Source organism: Homo sapiens, chromosome 13 (genome assembly GCF_000001405.40).
Source record: "Homo sapiens chromosome 13, GRCh38.p14 Primary Assembly".
NCBI lineage: Eukaryota > Metazoa > Chordata > Mammalia > Primates > Hominidae > Homo > Homo sapiens.
In genome coordinates, this window is record NC_000013.11 from 65,279,798 (window position 1) to 65,293,306 (window position 13,509).

A 13,509-nucleotide genomic window follows, 5' to 3' on the forward strand; every position below is an offset into this window, starting at 1 on the left:
TTATTTATTAAAGTTTTTCTTGAATTCTGTAATACATTCTAGTATAGTTTATATTTAAACTAATTTTTGTTGTTGTTGTTGTTGTTTTATTTGAGATGGAGTCTCACTCTGTCGCCCAGGTTGAAGTGCACTGTCACAATCTCAGTTCACTGCAACCTGTGCCTCTCAGGTTCAAGCGGTTCTCTTGCTTTACCCTCCCAGCTGATATTATAGGCCCATACCACCATACCCAGCTAATTTTTTTTTTTTGTATTTTCAGTAGAGATGGGATTTTTGTCATGTTGGCCAGGCTGATCTCCATCTCATGACCTCTTGATCTGCCCAGCTCGGCCTCCCAAAGTGCTGGAATTACAGGCATGAGCCACCGCGCCAGGCCTTAAACTAATGTTTTACTTAAACTTTGGGTTCTTTCATATATTTTCAACTCTAGTGTTCTTAATTAATGTTGCCAACTTTTATATACTCAGCCTAGCACTAGCATTACTCACTCACTCACTCACTCCATTTATCTGAGAAGAGTTTGCCCAATCACCACCCATTTCCCCAACCAATTCACTTTTTGGGAGTATAAGCTTTGCTACTACAGCAACTCTGTGAGTGTGTGTGTGTGTGTGTGTGTGTGTGTGTGTTTGTGTGTGTGGGTCTATAAAATTCAACTGTTTTCCGTCAAGCTGAGCCAGTTAACAGGGCTATTAGAGATAAATTCATATAGGATAATGAGGTTTGATATTCAATTATTAATTTTTCTAGATTGGTGACTAATATACAGCTTCATATAATACACAGGCAAAATTTTGTATCATGGTTTAATCAATTGTTATGCCTCTTTTTGATGATTTTCTGTTACATCTTTGCTTGCTCTATAAGTGAAAACATAATATTGTAGTACACTGATTTATCTGAATTCTTTACACATTAAAGTTATTGCTAATTTGTCCTATATATCTGTCCTAATTTTGTATCAGTTTGCTTGTTTTAACTTCTCATTTCATTATAATTGTGGCATTTTAACATTTAAGGGTAGTCAAATATGTTATTATTGTTCTTTAGAATTTTTCTAAGTCTTTGAGGTTTAAACATGTATTGCCCTTCAATATTTCTGTAAAGTAGCAAAAATATATAACATGAGAGCTACCCTCTTAAATATTCTTATGGACAGTTCAGTGTTGTTAACTATAAACACAATGTTGCACAGCAAATCATTAGGATTTTTTTATCTTGCATGATGTAAACTTTATATCTATTGGACAATACCCGTTTCCCTTTCTGCTAGCACGTGGTAACTACCATTTTCTGTTTTGATGATTTTGATTATTTTAGATAAGTCATATATGTGGAATCATGCAGTGTTTGTCCTACTGTGGCTGGCCTATTTCACATAGCAAAATGTTCACAAGGTGCTTCCGTGTAATAACATTACAGTTTTGTGGCTGAATAGTATTCAATTGTATGTATGAACCACAGTTTCATCATCCTTTCATTCATCCACAAGCATTTAAGTGGTTTCAACCTCTTGACTATTGTGAATAATGGTGTGATTGCTGTGAATGCAATATATCCTCAAAACCTTGATTTTAATTCTTTTGCATACTTAGAAATCAAATTTTTTTAATAATATGATATTTCTATTTTTTTATAAAGAATATCCATACCATTTCACATTTTCACCAACAGTGCACAGGGTTGCATTTTCTCCACGTTCTTGTCAATACTTGTTTTTTCTTTTGTTTTTGTTTTGTGTTTTTTAATGTTGGCCATCCTAACAGGTATGAAGTGACATTTTATTGCAGTTTTAATTTACATTTACCTGAAGAATAGTGATGTTGAGAGGATCTGTTCATATCCCCATTGGCCATTCATAACTTTTCTTTGAATAAATGTCTATGGAAGTTCTTTGCCCATTTTTAATCAGTTTTTTTGTTATAAAATTATAGGATTTCTTTATACATTTTGAATAGTAACTCCTTATCAGATATATTATTTGCAAATACATTCTCTCATGTTGCGGGTTGCCTTTTGACTTATGATTGTTACCTTTGCTCTGCAGAAGCTTTTTAGTTTAATATAGTCCCAATTTGCCTATGTTTACATTTTTTGCCTGTGCTTTTGGGGTTCTATCTAAGAAATCACTGGCAAAACCAATGTTATTAAAAAAAAACCTGTTTTCTTCTAGGAATTTTACAGCTTTGTGTCATAATTTTAAGCCCCCAAGATATATATTATATATATATTTATATAATTTTGGGGCCCTCTATTCCATTCAGCAGGTTTATGTCTGTCTTTACGCCAGTACCATACTCTCTTGATTGCTGTAGCGTTATACAGCTTGAATATCTTATTCAAAATGCTTGAGACCAGAAGTGTTTTGCATTTTTTTTTAATTTGGGAACATTCGCATGCATATAATGAGATATGATGGAGATGGGAACCAAGTTTAAACACAAAACTAATTATATCTCATGTATACCTTATACAAATAGTCTGAAATTAATTTAATATAACATTTTAAATAATTTTGTACATTAAGCAACATTTGGATTCATTTTGACTGTGACCCATCACATGAGGCCGGGTGTAAAATTCTCTACTTGTGGGGTCAACATGGCACTCAAAGAGTTTTGGATTTTGGAGCATGTTGGATTTTGGATTTTCAGGTTAGAGATGCTCAGATTGCATTATAACATGTTTTGAAATACCAAAAAGTGATGCTTCTAGTTTTATTCTTTTTTCTCATTATCAACTTGGTTATTCAAGGTCCTCTGTGGTTCCCTGTGAGTTCAAAATTTTTTTTTTATGTTCCTGTAAAAGCATGTCATTGAGATTTTTATTTATATTGCATTGACTCTCTAGATTGCTTTGTGTAGTATAGACATTTTAATAATATTGTCTTCTAATACATTAATATAGAATTTTCTTTCATTTATGTCTTAATTACTTTCATTTTTTTAAAAAATACAGTGTATAGTATTTCACCTCCTTGGTTAAGTTTATTCCTAAGTATGTTATTCTTTTTGATTATATTCTTAAATTCTTTTTCAGAGTTTGATATTAGTGCATAGTCATGTAACTCATCCTATTATATTGATATTGTATCCTGAAACTTACTGAACTTATTAATTCTAACTGGTTTTTGTGTGTTTTGGTAAAAAAGATCTTTAGCGTTTTCTACGTGTAAGATTATGTCTTCTGTGAACAGAGATAATCCCACTTCTTCCTTTTCAATATGGTTAATTTTCATTTACTTTTCTTACCTAATTGCTCTAATACAGCCTCAGGTATTATGTTGTCCAGAAATGGTGAGAGTGGGCCAGGTGCCATGGCTTATGCCTATAATCCCAGCACTTTGGGAGGCCAAGGCCATATCAAAGGAATGAAATGAATCTCAAGATATCCACTCTAATGAAACATTACTATATTAGTTTCCCAACAAATAATTCAGAATAACTACCATAAAGATATTCAATAAGCCCAGGAAAACAATGCATAAACAAATCAGAATGTCAGCAAAGAGAATGAAAATATATATTAATAAATAAACACAAACATTTTAAAACTGACAACTGAAATAAAATATTTGCTCCAAGAGTTAAATAGCAGAAGTTATCAAGTAGGAGAATCAGCCAACTTCAAAATATAACATTTCATATTATCCAATCAAAAGGTTGGGGTGGGGGGCAGAAATAATAAAAAAGAATCAAGAATAACTAGGGGACTTATGGGAGACAATCAAATGGACAAATACACATAAAATGGGAGTCTTAGGGGAAAAAGAGATAGATAGGGCCAAACAATTTATTTAAAGTGACAGTGGCCAAAATTGCTCAAATTTGGGAGAGAAATGAACATCTAGATTCAAAAGATCTAATAAATTGCCAAACAGGATAAACCCAAAGAAGTCCACCAAGACACATTATAATCAAATTGTCAAAGTCAAAGACAAAGGGAATTTTGAAAGTAGCAAGACAAAAACAACGTTTCATATACAAGAGAATACTCCAAGAGTAACATTTCATATTATCCAATCAGAAGAGTGGGGGGGGGGGCAGAAGTAATAAATAGCAACACAGAAGTATATGAAAGTATAAAACTCATTGATGAAAATAAATATATGTAAAAATACAAAATATTGTAACATTGTAATGATATTGTATAAATAACTTCCAATTCTGTTTTAAAAGTTTAATTAAAACATATAAAAATAACCAAAATATAAAAAATAAAAAATATTTCCATAGATAAATGATATAAAAAGATGTAACTTGTGATATTGATACCATGAAGTGTAGGAGGGATATGAAAGTGGAGAGTTACTGTATGTGATTAAAGTTAAATAGTTATCAACTTAATTTTAAATTGTAACTATAAAATGTTTTAAGTAAGCTCCATAGTAACCTCAAAAATACCTATAAGATGCTAGAAGAAAATGAGAGAGAAATCCGAACATATCACTAAATAAACTCAATAAAACAAAGAGGATGAAGGCAAGAAAGAAAAAGAGGAACAAAATAATAATAAGACAAGGGAAACGTGAATAGTAAATCTTTCCCTGTGAATAATTTCTACAAATGTGAGTGGTTTCAACTCCTCAAAGACATAGAGTGGCTGAATGGACACCCCCCCAAAAAAACAACAACAACAACAACAACAACAACAACAACAACAAAAAAAAAAACACAAGATTCAAATATGTGCTGTCTACAAGAGACTTATTTTAGGTTTAAGGCAACACAGAGTGAAAGTGGAAGGATTAAAATATATATTCCATGAAACTGGTACCTCAATGAGAACAGAAGTCATCATACTTAATATCAGACAAATAGACTTTAAGTCAAAAAGTGTCATAAAAGTCAAAGAGGGACATTATGTTATGATAAAAGGGTCAATTCACCAGGAAGATACTACAATGATATGTATATACCCAACATTAGAGTATATAAATATATGAAGCAAACATTGTCAGTACTTAATGGAGAAATTGATAGAAACAACATAGTAGTAGAATATTTTAAAACCCCATTTCAATAACTGCCACACAAACTAGACAGAGAGTCAATAAGGAAATAAAAGACTTGAACAATATTATAGACCAAAAGAACTTAACAGACAGGTACACAACATTCCACTCAACAGCTACAGAACACACACACTTCTCAAGTGCTCAGGGAATATTCTCAAGGTTAGATCACATGTTAAATCACAAAACAAGATTTTTTTTTTATTTTTGAAATAATATGCTTAGGTTTTGTATTTTATTTTAATTGACACATTGACAATTGACAAATATCTATACGGCAGAATAGGAAGACCCAGACCATTCTTCCTGCCACAGAGACTCTGATCCAACAACAACACACTTACCAAATTCTTCGGTAAGAAATCCAGAAACCAGTTAAAAGTACTCTACACCTGAGGAAAGCATGATACCAGCTTCATAAAAGCCAATAGGACAATTTGTTGTACATTCTTGCCATAGTGTTTCCCACCAGCATGGTGCTACATGATCAGGAGAAAAATTCCAGCTCCTGGCTTTTTCCTGAGAAGGAAAAGAGAAGACTAGACTATACATCTGATATTTGGACCTTTTTTGGGGGGAATGGGGAAGCTGCCTAAAGGAATGGTTTCTTTCTTGCGTGTCTTGAAATGCCTATGGGACATAGAATACTCTAGATGTCTGGGGCCACAGAAAACAACAACAAGAACAGAAAGCTGGGTGGCATGCTGTTGATCCAGAGCAGGCAAAGGGGGATTCAGATTAGTGGCCTCTTTCTCAGAGGCAAAGAAAAGAGTGGAGCATGTGTGCTACATTGTGGATTTTAGGGGCCTGTCCAAGAGACTGATTTCCATTTTGCCTCTCAGGGTGTTGATGGCCCCAGCATATTCTAGATTCCTGGGAGGCACTAAAAATAAACTAAAAAAAAAAGAGTTGGGTGGTGTACTATGCTTCTACAGGAACCGTTATATAGCAAACAGACACTAGAGAGACTATGAGATTACAAATTACTGAATAAGAAACTGGTGACTCTAATTAGGGATATACATGCACAAAGAAAAGACATATACACATAAAATGTTTGAAAGGTCCGCAGAAACTCTAGAAGGGCTAATTGGTGAAGGTACTTTCATATTTGAAGCATGTTCATAAAACATGAAAGACAGGTAGCTGTTTTTCAAATATGTGAATGTCAATGTAAAGTTACATTGTTGTGGTAGTCTGGGACAGAACCCACGATATCGCCAAGGCATGCCTGTATACAAATTTTATATAAATGGCTAGTCTTAAATAATAATGCTGGTATTTTGGAATAAATCATTTCTACCTCTAACCCAGTAGTGTGGACCACTATGAAAACCTACAAAATATGAAGCCAGGATAGCTGACTAGTAAGAAAGAATGTTTAGAAGTCCTACGATGATGTGACAATTGCTAAGAATTTCCATAAATAGAGTGGCACTTGAATATAGTGGCGTGAATGCACATAAGTGCAATCTATATTAAAAGTAGTTTGTTAGTGACATAAAAAACATTTTCACAAAGAATGAAGTTTAGAAAAAAAACTGAAAAATATAAAAATTACTGTATTTTGTGACAGGTTGTAAATAAAAGCCTTTTGAACTTATTTTTACTTTAAAAATGTCTTTTAGTATTATAAATATATATCTGAAAGATAATTTAAGTTGTATTTTTTGTGACTTAATTGATGTTGCTTTAAACATATTCTGGTAATTACAACATAATAATTTTGTTAAAACAAAATAAATTAGCTAAGACTCAGGTAGCAATCTCAAAGTACATTGATTATGAGAACATTTTTCTGACAATGGAAAATCAAAATATTATATTTAGGGAATACAAACAAATAACATAGTTTTATTTTGAGTATAATGTGAAACCAGCTTGCCTAAAAATTGTTTTAATATTGCCTACAATTAAATTGAGTGAAATATAAATACAATTAAATAAAAATTACTGTATTTGTGTGGTATTTAACACTTTGTACACAGTTGTCATGGGTAATTAATACAAAGAGGTGAATGTTATTATCACACATGCTTTGGGAGCATATAAGTATATACTACTGTAGTAGTAAATAGTGTAGTTTTAAGGTTACAATACAAAGGTTTAACAGATAGCCTACGGTAATGTACACTTAGTGACCTAGTTTCCTAACATGTAAAATGAACAAATGGGCATCTAATATATCTACTTGTTTGGAGCATTAAACTTTATAAATAAAATATTTATTAATGTTAACTACAATTAATGTTAAGATTGGACTATCTCCTTGTTCTCAGGCTTTTAATTGCTTAATCCTTTTATATTTTTATTTTAGTTTGCTTTAAGAGGCATGAGCATCATCTAAATGGAGGCCAGAGTTCATAGACTGTAAAACAATTAAGGGGCCATCTATTCTGAAGCACTCCAAAATCAACATTTAGTTTACAATTTCAAAGACAAAGTCAACAGATTATTTCATATACACACACGGGTGTGTATGTGTATGTCCAACTTTAAAATATACTGATTTCTATCATAAATATAAAGAGAGATTAATACTTGTAAGATGTTTTCAGGACAACTATGATGCTGGATAAAATTTTATTTTATTTTATTTTTTTAAATTGATGTTTGACATGTACATATTTACAGGATACAGTATGATGTTTCCATACATGCATACATTGTGTAATGATCAAAGCAATGTAACTAGCATATCCATCACCTTAAACATTTATTATTTCTTTGTGATGAATACATCACAGTTTCTTCTAGCTGTTTTGAAATACGTGAAACATTATTGTTAACTCTAGTCATACTATTATGCAATAGAACACCAGAACTTACTTGTCCTATCTAATTGCAACTTTATACCCATTGACCAATCTTTCTCCATCCTCTCTCTCCTTTACTCTTCCCATCCCCTGGTAACCACCATTCTACTCTACATCTATGAGAATACTTTAATAGATTTCAAATATGATTGAACTAATGCAGTATTTGTCTTTCCCTGCCTGGCTTATTTCACCTAACATAATGTCCTCCAGGTTCATTAATGTCATCACAAATAAAAGGATTTCATGTTTTATGACTGAACAGTATTCCACTGTGTGTATATATATACACATACACATATATATGTTATATATATATATATGTTATATATATGTTATATATATAACACATATATGTGTTATATATATGTTATATATATAACACATATATATGTTATATATATAACACATATATGTGTTATATATATGTTATATATATGTAACATTTTCTTTTATATGTTAATCTTTAATAGACACTTAGGTTGATTCCATATTTTGGCTATTGTGAATAGTGCTGCAATAAATGTGGGTGTCCAGATATCTCTTTGGCATACTAATTTCATTGTCTTTGGATATATATATATATATCCGGTAGTGGAATTGCTGGATCATATGATAGCTCTATTTTTAATTTTTTGAGGAAACTCCATATTGTTTTTTTATAATGACTGTACTAATTTCCATTCCCACAAGCAGTGTGTAGGGTTTCCTTTTCTTCACATCGTCACAAACACTTGGTATATTTTGATTTTTTGATAGTAGTCATTGTAACTAGAGTGAGGTGATGTCTTATTGTAGTTTTGATTTTCATATCCCTGATGATTAGTGATGTTGAACATTTTTTAATACATCTGTTGGTCATGTGTATGTCTTCTTTTGAGAAATATCTATTGGACACAAACTATTGTACATTATATATGGGCAAACTATAGTGGAAAACCTTTTTAACAATAAATAATGCAAGCTCCAAACTCATGTAGATTGCATAAAAATAAGAAGTTTATCTTTTTTATGCTAGCAATACATACTCTTCCTCATAGAAAAACATCAGATAATCTATTGCATCTTCACATTAAAAATAACCATTTAGGTCTTTAAACCAATGTTCTCACCATAGAGCTAAAACAAACAAAGAACAAAAACTGATTGATAAAAGCCCATTAATTAAGGGTGTCATATATCTCCGGATATAAAAATTTTGAAATTACACTCCTAAATACATTTAAGACTGAGAACTTTGTAAAATTCATTAAATTATACTCTTCATCACATGCATTGTTTGATATATTAATTATTCATTTCAATATGACCATTACTTAAATAGTAGTTCCCATATTAAACATATTACATATTTAAAAATTCAAACAAGCTTTTCTTACTGGTGTTCAATTTATTTTCACATATTTTGATTAGTACTTTGGTAGAATGCTTAAAATAATGTTTTGTCCATTTTTTCCTAAATTGATTTTTTAATTGGCAAAAATTATATATCATTTTTATGTATAAAATAGTATTGTGAAACATGTATATACACATAGTGGAGTGGCTTAAGCTAATTAACATATGCATTGAAAGTAATGGCAAAAAATGCGATTAATTTTTTACCAATCTAATAATTTCTTAGTAATTTTCAAAAATGAATACATTGTTATTAACTACAGTTACCAAGTTGTTGAATAGATCTCCTGTATTTATTCTTCTAAGCTAACTAAAATTGTGTGTGTGTGTGTGTGTGTGTGTGTGTGTGTGTGTATGTGTGTTTGTTTTAGACAGAGTCTCTTTCTGTGTCCAGGCTGAAGTGCAGTGGCATGATCTCATAGCTCACTGCAGCCTTGAATCCATGGGCTCAAACAGTCCTCCTACGTCAAACTCCCAAGTAGCTAGGACTACAGGCACATGCCACAGAAGCCACCAGGCCTGATTAATTTTCTTATGTTTTGTAAAGATGGGGTGTTGCTCAGGCTGGTCTTGAACTCCTGGCCTCAAGCAGTCTGCCCATTTCAGCTTCGCAAAATGCTAGGATTATAGGCATGAGCCCCCACACCTGGCCTCAAAAAATTTTTTTAATGAAAACATAAAATAGCAAAATTTAACCAAGAGGTATTATACCTTAATTAAAGTATATAGTTTAAAAAAATTACTAAATATAAGGCAAAAGATCAGTGGTTTACAGAACATTCTACTTCCGAGTAATAAAATAAATGTCTCACATCCTTTCATAAAAATGGCAGAACAAAACAGGGTACAGAAAATGTCTGCAGCCAACAGAGTAGCAGAATCATTGTTGATCTTAAGGTCAGTGCATTGTACATCAAGTACTGAAATTTATGAAACGTTGTTGAAAAAAATTGTGCCTCTACTTTCCCTTGCTTTATCTGTTTTATTTTCCTGCTTGCTTCCTACAGCGTCTGCACTGCATGAATGATTGTAATGTCACTAACCACCCATTCTTGATTTTCTTTAGGCCGTCATTTTATTGAAATGTTTCCCCAAAGAGAAGAATGACCTCCTCAATGATAATTTATGTGAATAAGTTGCTGTTCATTCTGCAAACTATAGTACAGTAACTGGTGAACAATGGGTGCTCAATTAGTACTTGTATTACTTAAATGGGTGAGAAGTAACATCATTTACATTCATATGGTAGTAATGATATACACAACACTTATACTCATGTGTATTATAGACTCTGATGTACTGCATTTTATTCCTTTTAAGATGCATATTTTTTCACATTTTAGCAACCTTTAAATAATTTTAAATCTCACAATTAATGTTATTAAGAGATATTGGATAACGTTCTAATTAAAATAATTTTCACTGGAGTCTCCTTAATATAGTATGAATAATGGCGCATTTTACAATTTATGTCATCTTTCTTTTTCTGGCAGTTTCTTTTTTATTAGAAAATAACCTGTTTATATTTTCACATGTGTGTTTACTTTATGCTGGTAAATAATGAACAAAATATAGGTGATTTATGTGAGCAAACTTTGTACACTGGACCTGCCTGAGGGCAGTGTCAAGGAGTGACAAGTGGTTGCCTGGGACACTTTGTGCCTACAAGGTCCATGTAGGTGTCAATCATGGAATATTTCCTAGAAGAGTGGAAGAAGGAACTCCGGCCCCTGTTGACTATTTTTTTGGCATTCTTCTGTAGTAGATAAAATTCTGTTCTTTTTCACAGTCATCTGTAAGTGAAAGATCAAAGTGAGCATAGATCTCAGTTAATCGGGTAATAATTAAAAAGTAGTAATTAGATGGGATGATGGTTATCTATCTATCTATCTATCTGTCTGTCTATCTGTGACGTGGGAAATGAAGAGGCTAATGCATCTTTTCTTATGAGGGGTCTTGGTTTATCTGGAAAGAAAATCTTTCCTCATAAGGAGAAACACTGGGAAGGGGACTTTCAGTCATCTCCTTACTGTCTTACCCTTGCCTCCACAAGGGAGTGGATAGTGCAGAGTCTGACACCCATTGGGCCATGACTTATTAGAGTAAAAGAGGGTTTTTTAATTATTATTTTCAAAGACAGGCTCTGGATTTGTCACCCAGGCTGAAGTGCAGTGGCACAAACTCATCTCACTGCAACCTCGGCCTCCCAGCATCAAGCAATCCTCCCAGCTCAGCCTCTCAAGTAGCTGGGACTACGGTCATGCACTAACATGCCCAGCTAATTTTTGTATTTTCTGTAGATAGCGTTTCACCTTGTTGCCCAGACTAGTCTCAAACTCCTGAGCCCAAACAATTCGCCACAACACTTTATTTCTCTCCCTCATTCTACTAACTCTTCTTCCTTAATATACTGATAAGAATCAGGACCCAAGCTGGGGTCATGTGATACCTGTTTTTTCTCCCACAGGCACAGACTACTGCCCAAGTCATAAATTAGGCAATTTTTTTAGGTAGGAGTTAAGCATAAGGACAGAACATTCATCTCCGCCTCTTGGGTCAATGCCCGAGTGAGAGTTCAACCCACTGCCTTATCCTAGGGTCATGTGAACAAACTCAGGATTTGTTCTGGGGACCAATTATCTCACTCTTTTCCCCTGTAGTTGCAGTTAAAGGTACAGATCTTAAGCCTAATATTTTCATGGAATTTTGAAAGTATAGTTCGGGCTGGGCGTGGCTCAGGCCTGTAATCCCAGCACCTTGGGAGGCCAAGGCGGGCAGATCACGAAGTCAGGAGCTGCAGACCATCCTGGCTAACACGGTGAAACCTCGTCTGTACTAAAAATACAAAAAAATTAGCCAGGCATGGTGGCGGGCGCCTGTATTCCCAGCTACTCGGGAGGCTAAGGTAGGAGAATGGCATGAACCCGGGAGGCAGAGCTTGCAGTGAGAGCAAAACTTCAAAAAAAAAAAAAAGAAAAAAAAAAGGAAGGAAGGAAGAATAGTTCCGCATTTCCCCATTTCCCCTAAATCCCATTGTCCAATATATTTGGCTCCTTATTTTTTTCTGTATACTCAGATGTGGAAAAAAAGAGAAGGATTGAAGGGGTGAGCATAACACAAAATATTAGCATATATTATTACAAATAGTTATAATTTCATTTCTGCACTATGATAGCCCTTTAAATACATAATCACATTTAATCCACTCAACATCTGTATATATGATGCTGTACCTTTACCCTCATTTATTGCATGAGATAAAGGAGCCTCAATAATTTACTAAGATCTGAAAGGCGGTAAATGGCAAAGTCAGGTTTCAAATCATGGTCAGTCTGACTCTACAACTTGAGTTCTTACCCTATATGGAACAAAGGCCAGTGATTTTGACTGAGAGACTCCAAGAAAACAGCTGCTAAGTGAAGATCATAGAAGTTTCACACTGTGATTCAAAAAAGACAACTACTGCTCCTGCTGTTGTTTCCATGCCTGCATGTGGGGCCGCAGACACCACCACAGATCTGAAAAAGTTTTCTTTTCATTGTAACCATCATCTCCATGGGTGGAGTGTGGGAATGGGTGGTGATGCAGTAGATAACAGAAATGCTAGGGGCACAGGTATGTTTCCAGATTGGTCAGGAGGCATCACAGGCACAAAGAATCCCTGACTGAAAGAGATAGATAGCAGATTGCTTCCTTACATCCCAGACAGCAGGGCTCCTCCTGTCTTATCTTTAGGTCCTGGCAACCCGGACTGGTTTCCCTGGATACAAGAGCTTCCCTGCTTGGAGGGACTGAGTCATCAAATGTGTTTGAATTTGTTCAGCCTCAAAAAGGATGAATGTTCCCTGAAAAATATGAGAGGTTCTATTTTTAGAAAAATGAGCATACATATGTTGGTTTATAAAACATATATGATCAGATTTTATCCAGTTTTAGTTATTTTACAGTGATCATTAGGAATTTGTAGTAACACCTCTTTCAGCTATAAAAAAGTATCTGAAACAGATCTTGTTTAATAAATTGTTTTAAGATATTGCTTACTATCTATAAGAAGTCATCCAAGAATATCAACACATTCTATTTATCTGTCTTTGTAATAAGTGAATATAAGTCTGGACCTAAAGGAGTGTTATAATTGCTATGTTCAGGGTATCACAATGGGAATCATGTCTTTTCATTCTTTCTATCACTCATAGCACATATAACGGTTTCTTACAAATAATTTTTGTGTTCTTTCAGGTGAAGCTCCTTTCTCCAGATCCTAAATTAAGCAAAGTAAAA

At 33.5% G+C, this 13,509-nt stretch overlaps 1 pseudogene; it reads right to left on the reverse strand.

Moving 5' to 3' along the window:
• The window catches only part of STARP1 (steroidogenic acute regulatory protein pseudogene 1), a 31,022-nt pseudogene continuing 17,770 nt past the window's right edge, over positions 258-13,509 (reverse strand).